Raw genomic sequence first — 23,890 nt, 5'->3', positions numbered from 1 at the left:
ACACACATCTACCCATTACGTTTGCCGTCTTATGTGGGTGTGGTTCGTGGCACCCCAAAACAATGACAACAGTGACCTCAAAGATCACTGACCACAAATCCCTATAGCTGACAGAACACTGATGAAGCAACTATGACAACAGTGACCTCAAAGATCACTGACTACAGCTCCCTGTAACAGCAGAGCACTAACGAGGAGGCTGAAGTACACGGGAAATTTCCAGAGCGTGGCACAACACCTGGGGGCACATGCTGCTGGAAAATGGCACCTGCAGACGTGCTCGCCAGGTTGCTCCGAGCCTCCTCCCTGTGAACACAGTATCAGTGAAGCACCATAAAATGAGGTGTGCCTGTAAAACTCACTCAATGCCCAACTTCAAAGGCACAATAAAAGCAGGAAACAGCCACAGCAACTCATGAAGGTATATGTGTGCAGAATGTATTTTCATAAAGTCCTTACATCCTTCAAAATACCTAGTTTGTCAGAAAATAGGCATTAAAAAAAAAACCTTGGGCGGGCGCGGTGGCTCATGCCTGTAATCCCAGCACTTTGGGAGGCCGAGGCAGGCGGATCACAAAGTCAGGAGATTGAGACCATCCTGGCTAACACGGTGAAACCCCGTCTCTACTAAAAAAAATACAAAAAATTAGCCAGGTGTGGTGGCGGGCACCTGTAGTCCCAGCTACTTGGGAGTCTGAGGGAGGAGAATGGCGTGAACTCGGGAGGTAGAGCTTGCAGTGAGCCAAGATCCTGCCACTGCACTCCAGCCTGGGTGACAGAGTGAGGCTCTGTCTCAAAAACAAACAAACAAAAAACCTTAGTGAGTAGAGTAGCGGGTATGAACGAAGCAATCTGAAAATATCTAGTCACAGTTTATACTGCACAGAAGAATAGACTGCTGTGTAAGATGCCACGAGACACACAAATGACTAACACAGCCAGAAATAGAAGCTGTTTTGTGGGTTAGACCTGAATTCCGGCCCTAAACAAACTCCTGTGCAGCACGGCAGTTACTCGATTCTCTCCATTCTGCAAACAGCATAAAACGCGAGAGTTTGTGCCACCTGGGGGGTCTGTGCAGCTCACCCTGACCACCTGACTGACTTACAAGGCCAAACTTAACCAAACTTCTTCCAGATGAAGCTTGTCACAAATTTGACTTATGTGTAACTGTCATCAATCTGTCCCAGCTGTTGGTACCACGCCCCGGCATTCAGCAGCGGAGGATGCCCGGCTCCGTGGTGCATCCTCCAGCCTGCTGGGTGTCTGCTATTGGGACCTGCAGGATCCCCAGGAACCTTTAGAACTGGTAAGGTCAGAACTGATGGGCCTCTGAAATCCCAAATCTAACGCCAGAGTCCACATACTGTTCAATAGCAAACACTTAAAAAACAACTCAGTGTTGGTGAGGGCCTCCCTGATGGCCACCGTCTAGGCCGACACAAGCCTCTGCGCAAGCCTCTGGGCACAGACATTCAAAGCCTTCGGTCTAGAAATTCAGCTTCTCTGGTTCCATCCTGAGGACACAGCTGAGGCACAGGAAGGGTTTCGTGTGCATTAAACAGGGTTCTGCCCTCACCCTGCATTTCCCCGTGTTTCCCCTGGAGAATGTACGCTGGTCACCTCCCACCCAGGCTTTTCCTCCAGCCCAGTTCTCCCAAGCACAAACCCAGGCGTCCACCTGCCCTTGACATCCTAGCAACATAAAGGCATCCAACACCAACGTCCTCCCCACCAAGACTGCCCCTCTCAGGACACGCCTCGCACCATCCACCACACCATCCTCACAGGCTCGGGACGTTTCTGCCTTCTCCGACATCGTGCCGGGCAGGCACACAAAGGGTTCCCACACACACGGAAGGAAGCGTGAGACACAGTGGGCGTCGGGATGTCTGCCCGGGAGCCGCGGATGCTCCCCAACAGCCCAGCAGACACACGGCCCACGCCCAGAACTAGCAAGTCTGCTTTCCAAACCCAGGCTGACCTACGGGAAATCATCTAAAAAACAAGAGAACACACTTCTGAATCAAAATTCTAGGACCCGCGGTTCCTGGGAAACTGTCCGTAGATGCTGACTGCACTCACTTTATTCGACATCTGCTGACAGTGCTGCTCGGTTGTGTGAATCAACGTCTGGTCCAAGTCCACCATGAGCACCAGCTTCCGGTTTCGGTGCAGTCGCTGCTGGTCTTCTCTTCCCAGCTGTTCAGCTTGCTACAATTAAAAAGAAACAAGAAATGACAAAGTCAGTATGTTTGCATCCAAGGTAAAACTCCATTTCATCGAGAAACACAAAACTATATCAATGTGTTCCCCTCCAGCCCCCCACGCTCCATGGACTGCGCCGTACAGGCCGAGAGGCAGGGCTGGGTCACCAACCTGGTCACGGCAACCTCGCTTGTGACCACAATTTTATAATTCAGTTAAATACATGAGCCAATGAAAACGGAGGGGGAAGGGAAACTGGTTGTTTCTATAAAAGCTGGATTCAACAGTATGGAGTGCTCAATAAAAGTGAACTGCAAAATTAATGAAGAAACCAAGTCGGCCGGCTGGGAGACGCTGGGTGGCCCAAGCTGGGCAGCAGAGACTGGTAAGGGCAATGCGCTCAGAATCTCCCGCGCTCAGAACCTTCCACGCTCAGCCTATTCTTGTGCCTCGAAGAGACCCGGGGGCCTGGCAACAGCGCATCGGGGTGTCCCTCCACGCGGGGCCCAGAGTGGAGCTCCTAACAAGGGCCCGGTCACCCCGGCATCAGGAGCCCGGCATGGGACACGGGATGTGACGCACCACGCTGCCTTTCTCACTGTAACTGGCCCTCACTCTTCACAACAAAATCCTGGTCCCGCTCAGGGGGGACCTCCTCCCGTGCCCATCCCCGAAGGGAAACGCACGGAAGGGCTGGCAGGTGCCAGAAAGATGGGGGGTACTTCCTCCTCCCTTCACCCTCAAACTTGCCAGCTTTGGTTTACGCATACACATTTTACATTTGTTTAAAGTTTGGTAATTCAGAAAACCCAGAATCCTGTATCTGGCATTTTGCTTTTCCCATAAAAAGATAGACTGAAATTGGTGTCCATCATTTAAAAGCACGAATTTACTAAAATCGTAACACTGGAAAGTGTTTTACCTATTTACAAAACTGTGCAGCCCTGAAAGTCTGTAAGATCACAAACTAGTTTTTCTCAGCTCCCAGAGCATTTTCACCCACGGGGTGAAGCGAGGTCGGGGAGACGGTGTCTGCCTCAAGCACAGGAGGTGCCCGGAGCCGCTGACCCACAGTGCCCCAGCAACTCCTGAAATACATAAACGAGGCGTAGCACTCGAAGATAAAAACCCATCTCACTCTTAACTGGGCACGTGAACACCTGCCCGTCCTCTCCACCCTGCGTACCCCCCATGGGCTCTCCTGTCGGCTACAAGGCAAACACTCCTGGGACCCCCAACCCGCCCCTGCATGTGCCCACTCTCCCGAGCCAGCTTCCCAATGGTGCCAGCAGCAGCCGCTCCTGTAGCCAACAAGGTGCTACCAACCACGTCCCCCCGCCCCTACCCCCGGCCACCGACTCCTCGCCATTATCTGCCCCAATATGCGCTTTGCCCTCCCGGGTCATCCAGCACATGCCTCGGCAGCGCGGCCACCTCCTGAGCTCCATGAGCAGCTGTCACATCCCTCCCCAGTTAGGACTTGGCTCAAGGGAACCCAGGCTGAGCCTGGCTGTTCACAGCTGCGGCGGCAGCACCTGGTGTTCCCGACACGCAGGTCACACAGCCTCGGGGCCCTGAGTCGCTTTTGCAGGCAGACTTGTCTGTGGAGAACCAAGGGCAACCGTCCCTGCTTCAGGAAGGCCGCAGTCCCATAAGTCATCCGTGTGATGAGGGGTTGTTTCAGTAACGACGATGACAACCACACGTCCGTGCTTCTGCAGCCACCCTCCTCCTGCAGCCGCCCTCCTCAGAGCACCACGCTTCCCCAACACGCCGCCACTGATGCCCGGCTCACCTCGGAGCTCACCATCAACTCCGGCACGCTGTGCACCATGGACACGGTCGCCGTGGACAGCGGCACCTGCTGCTTCCCGTTCTTACTCTGCAACCTGCAAGTGCAAGGACAGGTTCAGGGCTTTCAGCTGAGTCTCTGCGCACAGATGCACACTGGGCTCTAAGTGACAGGATTCTAGCTGATGTTTTAACGGACACACGCTGCTATCTTAGCACAGACTTGATTCTGTCGGCAAACGTGGAAACATTCTCCACAGACAGGAAAACTGGTGGAAACACTGAGCTCGTGGCCACACTCATGAACACACAGAGCCATAGTCCTTCATGAAAACAAACTGCAAAGTCACACAGAAGCAGAAACAGGCCCTCAACCATGAAAACGCAGAAAAAGTAGCTGCCGCACCTCCCACTTGGCATTAGAGGTAAAGCAGCCCCCAGCATGGGGCGCTCAGCGGCCCAGAGGGAGGGGCTGCTCCAGGCACTCAGCGATCTGCGTCTTCAGTCAGGAGAAAACAGGTCTCGGCCCTCCAGCATGCCCCCCCACCACACCTGAGAATGGCATGAGGCTGGGGTCACAGAGCAGGAAGGACTGCCTCCAGGGAAACCCATTGAGTGTGACTCGTATGGGGCCCAAGGGAGGCGTCTGCATCTGCCGCTGGGAAACCAAGGGCCTCACTGTGTTCCCAGCACAGCTTCTCGGACTCCCCGGAGGCCACCACCTCGAGCCCCAGCAGGCAGCGATCTCACTCTTCCGGATACTTACTGGGTGAGGTCTTGGCCACATTCAGCACACAGGCCTTTCATGACAACCGGGTGGCTGCATCCTTCCAACCTCACCAGAACCGCTCTACAAAAAAACACAAGGGGAACAACACTTTAAAATCTCTTGGTTTATCAAAAGAGCCCCCAAGTAAGAATTTTAAAATCTAGGTTTTTGTACCAATTCTACACTAACCCTTGCATAACTTTGTAGGCAGGTGACATCACCCCTTGAGGGCATTTCTTTGTCTATAAAATGAAAGGACTTTCCACCTACAGGTGTCTCTCATGAAAAATGACACGCCACCACACCTCACCACCCCCGTGCCACCCGTGGAACAGCTGAAAAAACTAAGGATGTCTGGTCCAAAGAGGAGACTTGGGGATAACATAAAGTTGTCTCAAAACACACTATTTATATGTGATCCTCTGACATTTCCGTTAGAGAATTTATAAAATCTAAAACTTTCATATCATTCCCAGTCTAGACAGAGGCTGATGCAACTACATTTTCCTGACAAAATGACTGTAATGTTCGTTTTATATAAACACAAACTGTTTTATTTGTCCAAACAGTGGTCTTCTGGCAGAAGCCATGGAAGAAGTGCTGAAATCTGAAGGCTATGAGACCAGAGGCCGCCTGGCACTCAGCGCCCGCCCCTAGGTGCCCTCAGCCCCCACACTCCCACCCCAGCCGGGCTGCTCCGACCGCCCCACCCTGCGAACATGAGACCACCCAGCACTCAGCGCCTGACCCTAGGTGTCCGCAGCCCCCACACTCCCACCCCAGCCGGGCTGCTCCGACCACCCCACCCCGTGGACATGAGACCGCCCAGCACTCAGCGCCCACCCCTAGGTGCCTGTAGCCCCCACACTCCCATCCCAGCCGGGCTGCTCCGACCACCGCGCCCCGCGGACACGAGGCTGCCCGGCACTCAGTGTCCCTAGGAGCTCGCAACCCCCACACTCCCGTCCCAGCTGGGCTGCTCCGACCACCCCACCCCGTGGACATGAGACCGCCCAGCACTCAGCGCCCACCCCTAGGTGCCTGTAGCCCCCACACTCCCATCCCAGCCGGGCTGCTCCGACCACCCTGCCCTGCAGACATGAGGCCGCCCAGCACTCAGCACCCGCCCCTAGGTGCTCACAGCCCCCACACTCCCGTCCCAGCCGGGCTGCTCCGACCACCCTGACCCGCGGACATGAGACAGCCACCCAAGCTGCATCTGTCAATGGGACCTTTCCAGGCGGGATGCCCCATGGCCCACCAAGACCCCCAGCCATGTCATCGAGAGGGCGCAAGGATCAGGCCACAGGCGGAAACAAGGCGGAGCCACATCCTCCATGCCCACTGTGCCATGGCAGGCTGTGCTGGGAGACTGGGAGGGGCGGGTCTGCAGCCTGCATCCTGCAGGGGAGCGGAGGGGCGGGTCTGTAGCCTGCATCCTTCAGGGAGACTCGGAGGGGCGGGTCTGTAGCCAGCATCCTGCAGGGAGAATGGGAGGGGCGGGTCTGTAGCCTGGAGGGGAGTGGAGGGGAGTTCTTCCTGGGGAGGAGGATGGGCGTGTGCGGATCACCCTGGAGGAGGAACGGTGCTGAGGACACACGGTGCGGGGCTCCGAGCCCTCGGGGATGGAGTGGGCTGCCGGTGACTATCAAGAATCTGAGCTCCTCCGGGTCCTGGGCCTGTGCGTACACAGTGCATGTGCAACACAAATGGATTCCGCGTTTACTCACGTCCCATCCCCAAGACATCTCGTCATGTATACGTGCAAATATTCCAAAATCCAAAAAAACCCAGAAATCCAAAACACTTCTGTTTCCAAGCAGTTTGGATATGGGAGACTCAACCTGTATCAGGTTTTTTTCTTAAACCAGACAACAAAATAGTGACACCTTGTTTGAAAAAGTGTGTTAAACTTTCTAAGGTGACAAGTATGATTTCCTTAATTTTATCAAAATACTTTACAATGAATGATTAGAGTTCTGCCCTAAAATGCCCCAATGAGCAGAGACTTAACCTAAAAACCCAATCTCTGAAAAAAAACAAAAACAAAAACAAAAAAAACGCACAAACCCCACACTGGACCATCCTCCCTCCCGGTCACCACACCTGCTCAAAGACACTGCCAGGCTTCACAGGCCTCAGGGACACCTGCTCCCTGCTTGCTGAGGCCACAGGGGCCATCCCCGCCCAGGAGTCTGTGTCCCTACCGCCATCGCACTCGGGGCCTCCACATCCAGGCTCCTCTCCGATGCCTGGCAGCCCCCAACTCCCCGGCTGAGCTGTTTTCGTCCATCCACAGGGCTCTGCGGCCCCACCGCCAACACCCAAACCCAGTCCTCCCAATGGCCCCACGTCCTTTCCCTGGGCACTGCTCCCCCAGTCCTGGCAGCAACCCCACTTGGGAGCCCCAGCCCCTCTAACAGGCTTCCCTGGTCTCCAGCTGACATCATTTTGCAATCAGCCTTCTGCAAGGAAACTCTGCACAGCTCCTGCCCCACACAGGACACCAGCTCATGGCAGGCTCCTCATTCTACCCCCTGCCCCACACAGGACACCAGCTCACGGCGGGTTCCTTGCTCTACCCTCTGCCCCACGCAGGACACCAGCTCACGGCGGGCTCCTCGCTCTACCCCCTGCCCCATGCAAGACACCAGCTCACCGCGGGCTCCTCCTTGCTCTACCCCCTGCAAGGGGAAGAGAGGGAAAGGAATCCTCAAATATGAACTAGGAGGATTTTGCCAATCTCTCCTAAACATGTTAACATGAAGAAGGATCTGGGGTGGCTCTAGTTTAACCAATAAACAGGTGTTTTTTTGTAGAAATTGACAAGTTGCTTCTGAAATTTATATGGAAGTTCAGAAAACCTAGAATCTCAATTTTCAAAAATAACAGAGAACTTTTACTACCTGACTTCAGAACTTATCAGGCATACAACATAAACGCATGGAACAGAGGAGTCCAGAAAGACTCAAAGGTATGACCGACAGACGACCCACCAAGGTGCCCAGAAAACTCCATGGCGGGCGGGGGGCACCTTCCAGCCAGTGGGGCTTCACACAAATGGATCAACGGCTGACAAACGCCTGCAGAGTGTGTTCTGCAAAGGTTTTCTCCACTGTTCCCCACCCGGAGTCCACCCTGGGAGCCGTCCACTCCTCCCCACCCCGAGTCCACCCTGGGAGCCGTCCACTCTTCTCCCACCCCGAGTCCACCCTGGGAGCCGTCCACTCCTCCCCACCCCGAGTCCACCCTGGGAGCCGTCCACTCCTCCCCACCCCGAGTCCACCCTGGGAGCCGTCCACTCCTCCCCCACCCCGAGTCCACCCTGGGAGCCGTCCACTCCTCCCCCACCCCGAGTCCACCCTGGGAGCCGTCCACTCCTCCCCCACCCCAAGTCCACCCTGGGAGCCGTCCACTCCTCCCCCACCCCGAGTCCACCCTGGGAGCCGTCCACTCCTCCCCACCCCGAGTCCACCCTGGGAGCCGTCCACTCTTCTCCCACCCCGAGTCCACCCTGGGAGCCGTCCACTCCTCCCCACCCCGAGTCCACCCTGGGAGCCGTCCACTCCTCCCCCACCCCGAGTCCACCCTGGGAGCCGTCCACTCCTCCCCCACCCCGAGTCCACCCTGGGAGCCGTCCACTCCTCCCCACCCCGAGTCCACCCTGGGAGCCGTCCACTCCTCCCCACCCCGAGTCCACCCTGGGAGCCGTCCACTCCTCCCCCACCCCGAGTCCACCCTGGGAGCCGTCCACTCCTCCCCCACCCCGAGTCCACCCTGGGAGCCGTCCACTCCTCCCCACCCCGAGTCCACCCTGGGAGCTGTCCACTGTTCCCCAGCCCGAGTCCTGCCTGGGAAGCTGTGTGACCCGTCGCACATTGACACTAGGCTGCCACAAAGGACGGGGGCCTCCTGCTCCAAGGAAGGGCTGGTAGCAAGCCCAGGTGCCACCTGCCTTCCCCAGCACAGGTCTAAGAGCGAGTGTAAGCTGGCCCTGCTTCCCACAAACAGCCTCCCTTGGGCCACCAGCGCAGCCTGAGGTCTGAAGAAAGTTGACTATAAGCTGAGTCGGGTGCGCACTGCCTGCTGTCACCAACAGTGTAATACGAGTCAGACGAGAGCGACTGCAAGACGGAGGTGCCACCGGCAGATGACTACAGCAGATGCCTAGTTCTACACGAGGAAGGAAGCTTCTAGAACAGTGTCACAGCAGCTGTAACAGCTGGGTCTTGACAGACGAGTAGGAAGCAGGTGAGGGCTGGAAATGGCAACCACGCAAGGTCCCGGTGGCAGAGACAAGGCCGGCTCCTGACGCCAAGGGCACCTGCGCCCAGTGCACGCAGGCAGCACTCCGCAGGCTTCCAGCAACGTGACCAAACACAGGCCTTCGTAGAAAATCACTCGCATACTGGCCACGTCGGAGTCACGTAATTTTCTGTACTGCGGTTGAAAGGTTCTGACTGTCTTATTCTAGTGCAGGCTCTGCTCCACCCCCCACCCCAGGACTCCTGTAGTGGCTGGAGACACTCCTGGATATCACACCTGGAGGCAGGGAAGCTGCTCAGCAACCCACAGCATGCAGGATGCTCCCAGCCAGGCCATCTGGCTCAGAATGTCTGTGTGTGCAAAGGCTGGGAAACCCGCGTGCAGACAGGGAGCAGAGAGCAATGTCTTTTCTTAATACGAGACATTTCTACACTTCGTCTTTGCAGATGCTGACAGAAAACAGGGGTGAAAAGCCCTGAACGCTCTCATTCCAGCCTCCACGCTCCAGGCAGAGAAACGTCTCCACACCTTAAAAAGGGGTGTGACACGTTGTGGATTCTTGAATGCGGATACACAAACGTAAAAACACCCAACCAAAGAGCTCAGCCCAAAAACGTCCAATCAGTCACCAATAAATGTTTTCTGGTTTGTCCTAAAGAAAATCCATGAGAAAGCCATGACATGCAACTTCTAAACAAGTTATTTGCCTCAAAATACACAAGTATAGTAAGTACCAAACTCTGTGGGGTTCTGGCCTCTCAGCTCTCTCAGGGGAGGTCCGAGGGCATGGGTACATCAGAGAGGGCTACGGGCTGGGCCTGGACCATGGACGCCATCACCTCTGAGCATCGCCTCCAGGTGGGTCCAACCTTCTCCCTTCCTTCTACAGATCAGGAGGGCTCCAGGGTCTTCCCTAAGTTCCAACATTCTGAGTGTAGAAATGTATTTAGAGGGAAGAGTGTATTTTTTGCACCTAGACCTTGGGTTTCTAAATGTCATTCTCCACCAAGAAGCAGCAGGATTTGTTGGAGAATGGCTGATTCCAGGACTGTGGCCAGGAGAGCAGCAGCCTAGAATCCGTTATGCAGACAAGGCGGCAATGCCTCAAGACTCAGCCGCCGGGAACCAGCACCACGGGGATCCCGCCGGCCACAGCTGGGATAAGTTTTGTGTCAAGGCAAATAATAACAATAACAGATTATAAGCCATTAAATAAGAAACCATGAGCCTACACTGCTAAATAGACATGTTACTTATTTGTGACGGAGTCTCGCTCCGTCACCTAGTTTGCAGTGCAGTGGTGTGATCTTAGCTCACTGCAATCTCTGCCTCTGGGGTTCAAGTGATTCTCTTGCCTCAGCCTCCCGAGTAGCTGGGACTGCAGGTGCGCACCATCACGCCTATTTTTGTATTTTTAGTAGAGATGGGGTTTCACCATATTGGCCAGGCTGGTCTCGAATTCCTGACCTCAGGTGATCTGTTCACCTTGGCCTCCCAAAGTGCTGGGATTACAGGCGTGAGCCACTACGCCTGGCCTTATTTGTTCTTACGGCAGAAAGTCAACCAAAAAGTGGAGAAGAAATGCTGGAATTGAGAACACCACCACTGGACTATCATCCTAGAAATGAAGCGATTCAAGCAGGAATCACTGACAGATACCCAAAATGTGGGTCAGCTTGGTGCAAATGTATTTATGTGGTAACAAAGTATCTCTTTCAAGATACTGAATTACAACAGGAAAAGTTGTAACTTTTTACAACAGACACCACCTTCACTAAACGCAGGCTCTGGGACAGTCTCACCAGAGTGCACAGCTGCGATCTAACTGAGGGATGTCCTACTAAACCAGGCAATGATACAGAAAGAAAGAAAGACGAAGGAGCTGACTCTTGAGGGTTCAACCAGCGATGCCACGTGGGGTCCAGGGCTTGCTTTTGTTACAAAGGACTTTATTAGGACTATTAGTGCTATGTAAGAGCACGTCTTTGTTTTCAGGAAACTCAAGTATTTAGGGGTGAAGTGACATCACACCTGCAACTAACTCTCCAACTCCAGAAAAATGTGCGTGTGCATGGGGAAAGATAAGCAAACTCAGCAAAGCATTAACATTTGCGGAATCTGGGGTGAAGCTGGTGTGAGAATTCTGTGCACTGTTCTTGCAACTTTAAGGTCAAAAATTATGTCCCAAAAGAGCCAGAGTGGCTGGGTGTGGTGGCTCACGCCTGTAATCCCAGCACTTAGCGAGGCTGAGGCAGGATCACCTGAGGTCAGAAGTTCCAGACCAGCCTGGCCAACGTGGTGAAATCGTCTCTACTAAAAATACAAAAATTAGCCGGGTGTGGCTGGGAGTGATGGCTCACGCCTGTAATCCCAGCACTTTGGGAAGCCAAGGCAGGTGGGTCACCTGAGGTCAGGAGTTCGAGATGAGCCTGGCCAACATGGTAAAACCCTGCCTCTACTAAAAATACAAAAATTAGTTGGGCGCGGTGGCTCACGCCTGTAATCCCAACACTTCAGGAGGCCGAGGCAGGTGGATCACCTGAGGTCAGGAGTTCGAGACCAGCCTGGCCAACATGGTGAAACCCTGTCTCTACTAAAAATACAATAATTAGCTGGGCATGGTGGTGGGCACCTGTAATCCCAGCTACTCAGGAGGCCGAGGCAGGAGAATCGCTTGAACCCAGGAGGTGGAGGTTGCAGTGAACTGAGATTGCACCGCTGCACTCCAGCCTGGGTGACAACAGTGAAACTTCATCTCAAAACAAAAAACAAACAGCTTCAAAGGAACAAGTGTTGTTGTTTTGTCTCCTGTGCAGCCACAGGGGTGGGAGCCCCAGGCTGGAGTCCAGTGCAGTGCAGTCGTCAGCTGTGGCTGACGCTCTGCACCTGGTTCAGTCGCCCAGAGCCCAGACGCAGCCATCCTGGAGAACACGCACAGGTGGGGCTCTGGCAGCGGTTACTGAAACTGTGGCTGTAAAGCACAACGTCTGAGGAATGTAAAGAAGGAACAAGGGCAGCCCAGCCTGATTCCCAACACTGCACACATCCACAGAGCCGTGGCTGGAAAGCTTCAACACTGCCACTGTGGTCTAGAGCGAGTCATCCAACAAAACCAGTTCCCAGCACGTCTCAAAACCACGTGGCACCACGTGCACCACACCATTCAGACCCTACTGCCCTCTCTGCTGGGTAAACAGACCTGCAAGGAAAGTCCTTGCCTCAGAACCTCCACAGACCCCAGGGAGCCATGGTGTCAAATGCTTCCAGCCTGAAAACACTTTAACCCCCTGGTGGTATGCTCAGGACAACCAACCAACTGCTCCGGTGCATGCCCACCAGTGAACTGGAGAAGTCAACTGCTGCGGTGCAGGCCCACCAGTGAACTGGCGAAGCCAACTGCTGCGGTGCAGGCCCACCAGTGAACTGGAGAAGCCAACTGCTGCGGTGCAGGCCCACCAGTGAACTGGAGAAGCCAACTGCTGCGGTGCAGGCCCACCAGTGAACTGGAGAAGCCAACTGCTCCGGTGCAGGCCCACCAGTGAACTGACGAAGCCAACTGCTGCGGTGCAGGCCCACCAGTGAACTGGCGAAGCCAACTGCTGCGGTGCAGGCCCACCAGTGAACTGGAGAAGCCAACTGCTCCGGTGCAGGCCCACCAGTGAACTGACGAAGCCAACTGCTGCGGTGCAGGCCCACCAGTGAACTGGCGAAGCCAACTGCTGCGGTGCAGGCCCACCAGTGAACTGGAGAAGCCAACTGCTCTGGTGCAGGCCCACCAGTGAACTGACGAAGCCAACTGCTGCGGTGCATGCCCACCAGTGAACTGGAGAAGCCAACTGCTGCGGTGCAGGCCCACCAGTGAACTGACGAAGCCAACTGCTGCGGTGCAGGCCCACCAGTGAACTGGAGAAGCCAACTGCTGCGGTGCAGGCCCACCAGTGAACTGACGAAGCCAACTGCTGCGGTGCAGGCCCACCAGTGAACTGGAGAAGTCAACTGCTGCGGTGCAGGCCCACCAGTGAACTGGAGAAGCCAACTGCTGCGGTGCAGGCCCACCAGTGAACTGGAGAAGCCAACTGCTGCGGTGCAGGCCCACCAGTGAACTGGAGAAGCCAACTGCTGCGGTGCAGGCCCACCAGTGAACTGGCGAAGCCAACTGCTGCGGTGCAGGCCCACCAGTGAACTGACGAAGCCAACTGCTGCGGTGCAGGCCCACCAGTGAACTGGAGAAGCCAACTGCTGTGGTGCAGGCCCACCAGTGAACTGGAGAAGCCAACATGATGCTGGGTATCAACTCGCTAACTGCATCATTCCCGCCAGTCTATAGTCAGCACAAAAAATGCATCAAAATCGTACGACACCAGCATTCTTCACCATTTAAAGCACCGTAGGGAAATTACTGTCTTTTAAACGCTACTTCAAAAATGTTACAAATATTAAATGAGTTAAGTTTTAGCTCAAGTTCCTCTTAACATTGTAAGGAATTTTGCACATATGATGCTAGATGTATATTTAAAAACCTACCAAGACCATCTCTTCATAACCTTTAAAATGTGCATTTATCCTTTAAGAAATATCACCTGAATCTCTTCAAACTCATCAGTTCCATTCTCTCTACATTCTCTTTCTCCTGAAAATATAAAAAGCACTTTTTTCTGAGACAACTTACATCGCTTGTTTTCCGTTTTGTATTTGTGCACTTTTAAAACACACATAAAACTGAGAATTCATCCATTCCTCTGTACCCAGATACTAGATGATTTCACATAACCCACTTTAAAACTAACTTTAAAGAAACCATGAAAATGGAGACAAATCTGATAATGCACACAAAATTTCTGAAACCTACAAACCATTTCCAGGCAGACGTGCTTCAAAGTCCTTTATCTAAAAGATTAGATCGGAGATACCTAAAAACCCATGACAAAGGTAAATCACAGACGAACAAAACCAAGCAAGTAACAAGGCCCAGTGGTTTTCTGTTAGGTGAAAAGTGGGAAAAACAAAGCAAAACGTTTGAAGTGCAACTTACCCACGTTTAATGGGCTGACAAAGTGACAGCCCCCCAAATTTTAGGCACAAATATCTTTTTTAAAGTATCATCCTTTAAATAGTGCAGGCGTCAACAGGGAAGAATAAAAGTATTCTAAATAATTATTAGAATTGTTAATAATAAAACTATTCTAAAAGAATTACCAATTCATCAAGATTCTTGGTACCAGGATGAAAACGAAATGTCCTTATTTCCAGGACCGGACCCTTAGGTGACGACGTTCGTGCACTGACTGAAGCACATTTAGAATTTCAGAGGCTTCTACTCCCTCATCACAGAACAATAAATTCGGGGACTAATCTTAGGTTGCAGCCTATTCTAACTGTATTACTATTTCTCAGAGATTCTCATTCCAAAATCTACAAAGCAATAAAGACAGCAATACCGTTGCTGTTGGAATGATCTTCATTTTATTCAGCAATGTTTTTCTGCTTCTCTGTGGCACTCTCACACCCTGCGCTGGTGAATGCAGATGCCCTTCCTGTGGACACGCTAAAGGCACAGGTACAGTCTGTCAGACGTCATCAACCCTCGCACACGGCCTCCGCCTGTTAGTTCTCACCAGTCACTGCAGGCTCCCAGATCATTTTAGGTACCTTCCCCTTTCTGTGGCGATTTAAATACCTCCCTGTGAGTGACTGGGAAAAAGCCAAAGCAAAGAAATCTGCAGGAAAAAAAAGACTTAGTTTCTGAAAGATGGTGACCTGTCAGAATATTTTCTATTAAAATAATTGTACTCCACATAAATATTATAAAAGCAGACAAACACTATTGTTCTAGCTACTCCCCCCACACTAGGAATCTCCAGGGCTGAAACCTGGTCTACAGAGAGCAGCACGCAGAGAACCAAGGACAGAGGCTCTCTCAAGGGCCTGAGCACACCACGAGGCATCTGCACCGTCCTCCTCACCAGGACCTCACACCCCGTAAGGAGCACCGCAGAGAAACTGGGAGTAGAGACCACGAGGTCCCTGCACCGTCCTCCTCACCAGGACCTCACACCCCGTAAGGAGCACCGCAGAGAAACCGGGAGTAGAGACCACGAGGTCCCTGCACCGTCCTCCTCACCAGGACCTCACACCCTGTAAGGGGCAGGGCAGGTCCAAACTTCTTGGAACCTCAGTTTCTTTCCAATGGAGTGAGGAGGTTCTTACTTCTGCCAGATAGGATGAAGCCCGACAAAAACATACAATCTTATTAAAGATCAAAACGACAATCTAGTGACTATTGTAACTTCACCCAAATGCAGTGTTTTTAAGTTCCCAGAATGGTTCTTTGTCTAAAAATAACCACTGATGTGGTTAGGATAAATGTTGCTGGTAACAACAATGCAGGCAACGAGGGCACGGACCCACCTTGCCTGGTGACAACAACGCAGGCAACGAGGGCACGGACCCACCTTGCCTGGTGACAACAATGAAGGTAACAAGAGCAGGGACCCACCTTGCCTGGTGACAACAATGCAGGCAACGAGGGCACGGACCCACCCTGCCTGGCTGGTGCTGGTGCTTTTCACAGGTTCACTCACACCTGCTATTTATAGAGGGAGGTTTCACAGGGCCACAGGTTCCATTACCTCTCTCCGCAGTGCTCCGCCTCAGTAACCGACACTAAGCTACACAAGGCTCACTCACACATACCCACGTGGGATTCTTCTTTCTTTGTTAAAATTCCATGCTATAAAGAACTGTTTAGACTGACGTTCTAATCTACGCTCTGGAGCAGCGCGTAGTCTGCTCCTCGGCACTGTGAGCATGCTGGCTGCACATGTACAAGCAACATCCACACCTCTCAGTTTCTCAAACACAGTCTCAGCTAAACAAGTTACTGTCAAGCAGCCGGCGGCCAGTGGGGTCAAGAGCCACCTTCACTAAGGTGATGGCACACAAGCGACGCTTGAGCTTAGCACACTCAGGCTGCTGCCGCTGTCTGCTCTCTGCAAGCTCCAGTTCAGCAGATTTAATGCTATGTTTTCAAAGATACTTCCCGTTATTCCTGAAAAATAAGTATTTTTATAAGCCCTGTGAAAGGATCAAGATAAAGGAACAACAGTGGGTAGGCACCCCCCGGTCCCAAAACCGTCCTGGGCCAGAAGCTAATTCATAACACCTGCAGGGTGAACACAGCGACCAAGCCTCAAGAGACAGGCTGTCCTCCCCGTAAATCCCACACCTCGTCAGCAATGTCCTCAACAACACCCTCGGGAAATCTGATTTCCCAAGACTTTCTCCAAAGGCCCCTCACCAAGGAGCCACCAGGGCACGCAGGCAACCAGTAAGCCCTTGAGGGACCAAAACTGTGTGGCCACATCAAGGGCTTCGCCCAAGCCAGAATTCCAACGTCAGATCGCCTGCGCATTCCTCAGGCAGCCGCCCTGAAACCCCGTTTCTGACACCTGAGTTTCTGATCCATCAGCTGGGCAGGACCTGCTCTCTCTCACCAAGAGCCACGGGGTTCCATTGGTGCTGGGAGGTCCCTGTTAAAAGGGACCTCCTTTCAGCACAAGCCCAGGAGCAGATTCTGCACCTCCCCTGCCCTCACACGCAGATGAGCTGAAGCCAGGGTTGGAGCCTCCACAAAAGCAGTTGTGGATTCTGCCCATGCTTGTCTATACAAGTGCGTGTTATTTGCATAATCTGAAAGGGGTACTCTAAGGATCAATACACGATAATCAGTCTATAAACATTTAAAGCAAACTTCAACCAAATGCTTGCTCTCCCAGATAAAGATCTCAGGAATCTGTAACTTCAAGAGAACTTTTAGAGGTGGTCAAGATAAGTCAATTATAAAACAGCCCACGTGCAATTCTGGGAACTTGCTTAGTAAAAATCAAACACCTGGGCTGGTGAGCAGAGTCAATGACGGTTGAAGGCAGTTCCTCTTCCCTGATGTCTTCACCTTCCAGCCTCCAAGTGGTGGGACACCGCAGAAGAGAACCGCGGAGCTGTTGCTGGAAATGACCACACCAGCAATCAGAGAAAAAAAGAAAAACAGAGGAAAAACCTTTTAAGTGAAAGTGACTCAGGCTCTCTAGAGGAAGGCAGATGCTCTTCACCAACCGACGTCCCAGAGGCGTCGCAGGGATGAGAACTAAACTCACACCTATCACCTTCCAACATCAGGATGGAATTATGCCCAATATTCTCTACTTCATCACAAAGCGGCACAATCTATTATGGAAAGACTTCCATATTTAATCAGTCCCTCATTCTCACGGGGGACGGGCTGCAGGACTCCTTCAGATACCAAATTCCACATCCACAGATACTCAGGTCCCGCAGTCAACCTGGAGAACCCACTGATCCAGAAAGTCAGCGCTCTGTATAAACAGGCTGGGCTCCACACCCAGCAAACAGTGTTGGGCGTGGAACCCATGGATGCGAACAGCAGACGATTTACTGAAAAACATCTACATAAAGGTGGCCCTCGCAGACCAAAGCAAGTTGTTCGAGGGTTAGCTGTAAATTGTGTATAAAGAGCTGCTGAGCTGGAACTCAACGTCCTGGAGAAATCCATCACTGTTGGCTTTAAGCAAAAGCTGCGGAGATTTCTACCTGCAACTCTCTATGGAGAGACGTCAGCAAAGCCACCACAAGTCCACACTGCAGGGCGCTACTCCCATCACAGGGGTGCTGCCAGAGAAACGCACTTGTAACCCACCCTGTTCACAAAATCTGTCAACAAGTGACTGAATCTAGTAATTTTCAACTGTGTTCCACAAAGGTGCAGCAGGCATTTTGGGGAGGCCAACACATACCGGCTCCCAACGGCAGCCCCCCAGAGCCAGGGCAGTGTCATCTGGACCACACGGAGCCGACCGTCAGCAGCATGGACTCCTGCTGCAAATGCACCTCCCGAATTCAGCTGGCTAATGCAACTGCGAGGCAGGAACCTGATTCCAAACAGACGACCAGAACTGCCAGGGCACATGCACACAGGGCTTTAGACTAAAGCCCTTCCAGTCGCTCCTTCCTGGATCTATGGCACCCACGCCCACTGCACGGGCAGGAACACCTCCGGAAATGCTGACGTCACACCACCACCACCACACTCCCCAGAACGCTCATAAAACCCATGTACACAAACCCACAGGAGTACACAGAAACGGGGAAGAAGCCACCTCAAATTCCAGGCAGCACCGTCTGTGGCTTTCTCTAAGGCAAGGATTTACCTGCCGCCCATGGACTGGAGGCAGAGAGATGAGCCTCCTGGAACCAGAGGGACACCTGGTGCCACACAGACGCTCCATCTGAGGAGAAATGATATCACATCAGTGTCTCAAAGGGCCCTGTGAGGTACCCCAAGATCTCAAACAGCACCTCCCTGTAAACACTACTGACTGCTGGGAACCCGTCATCAAGCTCATGACCTGGCTGGCTGACTGACTGATGCACTGGGTTGGTTTTATTCACTAGACTGACTGAACATGGAATTTCAATACTAACTTGCCACATAACCAAGTTACTCACCTGTCTAGGCCAAAGCAGCCCTTTCTGTACAATCAGAGGAACAGAATGAAACCTCAGTAGGGATCTTCCATCCTGGGGTTTTCTGTCCAGGGAATACACCAGCATTGGGATCTGCCTCCACAATCCTCCCAGGTACGGCCAGTGCCCACTGAGGAAGCCGTGAAGGCATTTTCTGGGAGGCAAGGCCCTGAACCTCCCAGCCCCACCCACCAGCACGCAGGGGGCAGGAGTGAGTGCCCGTGCCGAGGGTCAAGGACCCAGGCTCTGTCTCCAAAGGAAGCGGAGCCAGGACGTTCTGGGGCTGTGACGGGAAGACTCCTGTCCCAGTCCTCACTCTTGCGGAACCAGATGCAGAGAAGATCCTCAACAAACACAGGGTCAGGGCAAGCCAAAGGGACGAGGAGCCGCGGCTGCCGAGGAGGGAAGAGAGTGGCATCCCCAGAAGGAGCGGCACCTTTCCCAGAGGGAGCTCACGCCCGGCCCACTGCGGGCTGGAGTGTCCACCTCTCCCTGGAGTTTCTGTTCTCACAATCAAAACTACCAGAGCCAGGCGCACACGCGTGTCCACTTGCCCGCCCATCCCAGAACACAAGGGTAGATTCAAACATGGCTGGACACTTCGGTGCTACGGAAACATATCCCCTTCTGGGGTCAGAGCACAGCTACTGAGAGCTGTGGAGTCTGTCACAACGCCCACGTCACCCTGAAGCAGCCTGCGACAATGCCCACTGTGGTCAACCACGGGGCTACTGCCTTCGCTGCAGGCCTGGGTTCCGCCCGTTCCTTAGCCACGAAACAGAACTGCACCAGGTTTTACAACTGCGTTTCACAAAGTTTACAAAAATTTAAAGATGTGCACACACCCAACAGTTTATATTTCAATAACAGGTCTGGAGCCTGCCTGATGACTCTTGTGCTCACAGCCACCCATGAGTTTTCCTAAGTCACAAAGGTGGAGCTAAAGGAAGGGGCGGGGACTATCACTGCAGAAAGAAAGAAACAAACATAGCTTTTCCAAACAGTAACTTCGTGTCGCTACGCAGGACCCTTTCCTTTTATCTCAAAATGCTCCCCGTTGGTAAAACCACAGGTGGTGACTATCCAGTTTTAGGGGAGAAGCGCAGTGCCTGCGTCCCGCTTTATCGCTCCCTCACCAGGGGCGCCCCTGCCCACCGCGGACGCAGCAGCCCGGGGGTCCTCCAGGATCCCTCCCCGGAGCCGCCCGCCCTCGGCCCCGCCCGGCTCAGCACACTCACCCTGGGGCGACCACCTGGCCCGGCTGCGCGCACAGCTCCCGCACCACGCCCGCGCGCTCCGACCTCAGCCTGCGTTCCGGCCGCGCGGGGCGCACGCAGCCCCCGGAGGCTACACGGGACTGAGAGGCCCCGGAGGACTGCGCGGAGGCGGCGGCCTCGAACACGGCCAGCACCGAGCCGATGCGCACGGCCGCGCCCGCCGCCACCCTCCACTCCAGCAGGCGCAGCGGCGCGGGCCCCGGGCAGCGCACCTCGGCCACAGCCGCCGTCGGGGCGCCCTCGGCAGGAACGCGACCCGCGGCCGGCACCTCCATCGCGGACAGAGGGCGGGCGGGCGGTCGGTACGGGGCCTGCGCTGCGCTCAGAGCGCAGCGCCTACCGCGGCGACACAACCCAGGCGGCGACGCTGTAGTTCCTCTCGGTACCGGCTTCCACCCGTCGCCTAGCCCGCGCCGACTTCCTGGAGGGCGCGTGACGTCACGCAAGGGCGCCGCGTACGTGCGTACGTGCGCGTGTAAATACGAGCGCCGCGCGGGGCCGGAGCCGGCTCCGTCCTGGGACCAACCCTGCGTGCCGGCCGTGAAGAACTGCGTTCCTGAGCCCTACCTACTTTTCCTCGGAGCGCCGGCACCGTGGAGCAGCGGCATGCAACGCGGGCCGCTGTCGCCCAGTCCCAGTGACGGTCTTGGCGCGCTCGGAACTACGTATCCCGGCGTGCACCGCGGACAGAGCATGGCGGGACTACGAGTCCCAGCGTTCAACGCAGGCCTGCGTGCCATTACCCCATCACGCGCTGAGACCCAGCATCCCGAGACTACGAGTTCCGGCATGCACCGCGAGCCGCTCTCCTCCACTCCCATCGCGCACTGTGAGTCGCAACGTCGCGGGACTACGGGTCCCGGCATGCCTTGCGCGCCGCGGGCCCAGAGACGTGAGGCTGTCGGCGTCCTGGTGGCCCCGCCTCGTGTCCCCCCCCGGACCCCACGCCGCGGGAGCTTGGGGGTTGCGGTCTTCTCTTCCTCCGACCTCACCTTCGATGCGGAAGCGCAGGGGCAGGTGCGCCGCCCTCGGCCCGCGCAGGCGGTGGGCCCGTCTGGGGCAAGGCGCCCGGAAGCGCCTGGTTGGTTCAGAAAATCGGACCGCAGCGGGAGGGCGGGCACCGGCGCGTGGTCTCAGTGGCCCCAGGCGAACCCTGATGAGCAGCAGCCGCAAGTGGCTTACTAAAGGAGCCACTTTCTACGTTTGTCTGGAATTTACGTGAATTAAGCTGGCGGGCGGGCGGCCAGGCCTGTAGTCTCAGCACTTTGGGAGGCTCAGCACTTCGGGAGGCTGTGGCGGGCGGATCACCTGAGCCTGGGAGTTGGAGACCAGCCTGCGCAACGTAGCAAGACCCTATCTCTAAAACAGATTCATTAATACTTAGCCAGGCGCGGTGGCTGAGGTCCCAGCTACTCGGCAGGCCCAGGCTGGCCTGAGCCAGACCGCTCTGGACTGTTTTAATTTTTTCAGCCTTAATACCTGCCAGAATTTTTTTTTTACTATGTATCTTTGTCCTTACGTATATAAATTTTATATACAATTGAGATTATCCTGTATTTGCTTTTCCCCCCTCACTTTTATATGGTGACTTTTCTCATGTTAGGCTGAATACTAACATTTTGGAAACTGTCGGCCTGAAAACGAGCGGAGACACAGTTTCTCTAAGTAGAGAGTTTATTTGGGCCACACTTGAGCACAAATTCAAGGCGCCCTGAATGTGTACTCCGATTAGCAGTTAACAGTGGATTTTAAAGGCAAAAAAGGGGGCCAGGGAGTGGACTAATAGGAACTTGTTTGTGAGGAATTCTCACTGGTTTACAGAAATAACATTGATTAGTGACTGACTATATGTTGTTCAGCTATTGAGTGTGGGTATAGTGTCCATTGTGGCGTCATTAGGTTAATTTATAGCTGTTTGTGGCGCTGTTGCCACCAGTAGCAGTTTAAAGAGGTGAACACAGGTCAAGGGGTAGTAGGGCGCGATTGTCGCCTCATTTGAATGTCTCTCTCGGCCTGATAATTAAAAGAACTCGCGTTCCTCAGATAAAAATTCTCTTTTCTCAAAACCATTTAAATGTGGTAATTAGAATGGCCCAGAAGGGGCACAGTGCCTTTTAGCCCTCGCCATTACTTGCTCTTAGGAGTGCATTTTTTGTAGCTGTGGGTTTTTGACTATCTCTGCTGCTTTCTCCAGCCCCTACCCTCGTGACTACAAGGGAAAACGTGCGGTGCTCACGAGAGAGCCTTTATGGGATTTTTAAAAAATGGGGATTGTGGGAAAATGGCTCCAGCAGTCACAGTTTTTCAGTTTCTCACAATCCCATAAAAACAGAGCAACCAGGTAACAAAACTAAAGCATGGGCAACATTTACAGACCACTGGATGGTGAAGAATTCCCATGAACCCCTGGTTCACACTGTAAGGACACACTACTCAGCATGGGCAACATTTACAGACTACTGGATGGTGAAGAATTCCCATGAACCCCTGGTTCACACTGTAAGGACAGACTACTCAGCATGGGCAACATTTACAGACCACTGGATGATGAAGAATTCCCATGAACTCCTGGTTCCAACTGTAAGGACACACTACTCAGCTGTAGCCTGAAGCCGCCTCCTTACATACTGTAAGTTTAGCCTATAGGTTTCTCCATACGTAGTGAACAGTCATCTAATTGGATGTGTGGACACTGTAACCTACTCTTGAATCAGTCACAGGCAGCAGCACTTCAAACTCTGTTTCAATAAGCCAGACACGAGCTGTAGCCACCCTGCTGTTTGCAGGCCTCACCTCTGCCTTCTGTGCCTCACTCCCTTTTCTGTCCGTAAGTCTTTGGCCACACAGTGGCACTGGAGTCTCTCTGAGCCTATTCTGGTTTGAGGGGTTCCCTGATTCCTGAATCATTCTTTGCTCAATTAAACTCTGTAAAATTTAATGTTTCTAAAGTTTTCCTTTGAACACTACCAACAGCGCAAGCCCAGGGTGATGTCGGGGCCTGCGAGAGAGAAAGTAGGGGGGCCAAGGGCTCCACACTCACTGTGTGAACAGGTTTGTCTCAAAGGTTGTTGATATGTATCAGCATTCCCTATTTGAACCTGTTCCCACCAGCAGTATGTGAACTTTGGTTTGAAAAAATAATTCTGTAAAATGGGAAGAACCGTGTGTTATGTATGGACTTTGAAATACAGACCTCGATGGAACTGACAGACTGATCTAGGTAGACAGATGTAGACATCCCTAGGTGATTACAACTCCAACCTGGATAGATGCCATGTAGTCTTCCAATTAGAGATGCTATACAGCCAATGAAACTTAACCATGTCTTTAATAGGTGTGCCACCTTTTGTTAAAATCAGTTATCTTACAAGTATCATGAGAAAAAACATTAGTATCAACAGATTGAAACATTTATTGGGAAGAAAGTGAGGCCACAGTCAGGAAAAATAGCATAAGCCACAACCTCTTAGTCAAGAATCTTAGAAACAGCTGTGTTTCGTGTGTTTCAGAACTCTGAATTGTTCTGATTTTAGGAAAGTGACGTGTGCATATTCCACTTGGGGCCTGGGGCAACACCCTCATCAAACTGATATTCCTGCAGCAAAATACAAGCAGGACGAAAAGGATCATGGGTCGTCTCGTGCCAAATCAGGTTAGACTTTCCGCCAAATGAAGTACACAAAACTTTCCATGTTTAGGACTATGAATTTGGGCCAGGCACTGTGACTCATGCCTGTAATCCCAGCACTTTGAGAGGCTGAGACAGGTGGATCACTTGAGCCCGGGAGTTCAAGACCAACCTGGGCAACATAGTGAGACCTCATTTCTACAAAAAATTAGCTGAGTGTGGTGGTGTGCACCTGTCTGGAGTCCCAGCTACTCAGGAGGCTGAGGTGGGAGGATCCATTGAGCCTAGGAGGTCAAGGCTGCAGTGAGCTGTGATTGCACCACTGTCCTCCAGTCTGAGCAACAGAGCGAGACCCTGTCTTAAAAAAAATGGATACTGGGGCCACAGATAAGAGGTATGGGACTGTAATGC

At 53.3% G+C, this 23,890-nt stretch overlaps 1 protein-coding gene and 1 long non-coding RNA gene across 14 annotated transcripts in view, besides 6 other annotated features; one reads left to right on the top strand and one right to left on the bottom strand.

Annotated features, from left to right (window-relative positions):
- The window catches only part of CTDP1 (CTD phosphatase subunit 1), a 79,858-nt gene extending 56,552 nt beyond the window's left edge, over positions 1 to 23,306 (bottom strand). For 4 of the 13 annotated variants that reach the window (NM_001318511.2, NM_048368.4, XM_011526261.2 and 1 more), the window contains exons 1-4: positions 19,813 to 20,271; positions 4,766 to 4,849; positions 4,004 to 4,097; positions 2,086 to 2,214 (exon numbers count right to left, since the gene is read on the bottom strand). In NM_001318511.2, the coding sequence (NP_001305440.1) occupies positions 2,086 to 2,214; positions 4,004 to 4,097; positions 4,766 to 4,849; positions 19,813 to 20,126 (621 nt within the window). In that variant the 5' untranslated portion in view covers positions 20,127 to 20,271. Of the gene's footprint in view, positions 1 to 2,085; positions 2,215 to 3,130; positions 3,276 to 4,003; positions 4,098 to 4,765; positions 4,850 to 17,844; positions 18,037 to 18,258; positions 18,337 to 18,556; positions 19,678 to 19,812; positions 20,272 to 20,418; positions 20,677 to 20,843 lie in introns of those variants that run through there. The other 9 variants (XM_047437921.1, XM_047437927.1, XM_047437923.1 and 6 more) reach the window with 8 other exon arrangements.
- Positions 1,270 to 1,769: an enhancer, noted in NCBI's record as "H3K4me1 hESC enhancer chr18:77458305-77458804 (GRCh37/hg19 assembly coordinates)". NCBI's record gives its function as "activates a minimal SCP1, AML or CMV promoter by ChIP-STARR-seq in primed H9 embryonic stem cells {active_cell/tissue: H9 hESC(primed)}" and the evidence as "EXISTENCE:reporter gene assay evidence [ECO:0000049][PMID:30033119]".
- Positions 1,770 to 2,271: an enhancer, noted in NCBI's record as "H3K4me1 hESC enhancer chr18:77457803-77458304 (GRCh37/hg19 assembly coordinates)". NCBI's record gives its function as "activates a minimal SCP1, AML or CMV promoter by ChIP-STARR-seq in primed H9 embryonic stem cells {active_cell/tissue: H9 hESC(primed)}" and the evidence as "EXISTENCE:reporter gene assay evidence [ECO:0000049][PMID:30033119]".
- Positions 17,499 to 18,005: an enhancer, noted in NCBI's record as "H3K4me1 hESC enhancer chr18:77442069-77442575 (GRCh37/hg19 assembly coordinates)". NCBI's record gives its function as "activates a minimal SCP1, AML or CMV promoter by ChIP-STARR-seq in naive H9 embryonic stem cells {active_cell/tissue: H9 hESC(naive)}" and the evidence as "EXISTENCE:reporter gene assay evidence [ECO:0000049][PMID:30033119]".
- Positions 18,006 to 18,514: an enhancer, noted in NCBI's record as "H3K4me1 hESC enhancer chr18:77441560-77442068 (GRCh37/hg19 assembly coordinates)". NCBI's record gives its function as "activates a minimal SCP1, AML or CMV promoter by ChIP-STARR-seq in primed H9 embryonic stem cells {active_cell/tissue: H9 hESC(primed)}" and the evidence as "EXISTENCE:reporter gene assay evidence [ECO:0000049][PMID:30033119]".
- Positions 20,130 to 20,638: an enhancer, noted in NCBI's record as "H3K27ac hESC enhancer chr18:77439436-77439944 (GRCh37/hg19 assembly coordinates)". NCBI's record gives its function as "activates a minimal SCP1, AML or CMV promoter by ChIP-STARR-seq in naive H9 embryonic stem cells {active_cell/tissue: H9 hESC(naive)}" and the evidence as "EXISTENCE:reporter gene assay evidence [ECO:0000049][PMID:30033119]".
- CTDP1-DT (CTDP1 divergent transcript) overlaps positions 20,329 to 23,890 on the top strand; it is a 40,818-nt gene continuing 37,256 nt past the window's right edge. The window contains exon 1 of the long non-coding RNA NR_136643.1: positions 20,329 to 20,680. This is a non-coding gene — a long non-coding RNA (CTDP1 divergent transcript). The remainder of the gene's footprint in view (positions 20,681 to 23,890) is intronic.
- Positions 20,639 to 21,146: an enhancer, noted in NCBI's record as "H3K27ac hESC enhancer chr18:77438928-77439435 (GRCh37/hg19 assembly coordinates)". NCBI's record gives its function as "activates a minimal SCP1, AML or CMV promoter by ChIP-STARR-seq in naive H9 embryonic stem cells {active_cell/tissue: H9 hESC(naive)}" and the evidence as "EXISTENCE:reporter gene assay evidence [ECO:0000049][PMID:30033119]".

This window comes from Homo sapiens, chromosome 18 (assembly GCF_000001405.40).
Source record: "Homo sapiens chromosome 18, GRCh38.p14 Primary Assembly".
Lineage (NCBI taxonomy): Eukaryota > Metazoa > Chordata > Mammalia > Primates > Hominidae > Homo > Homo sapiens.
This window is presented reverse-complemented; position numbering and strand designations above follow the sequence as displayed.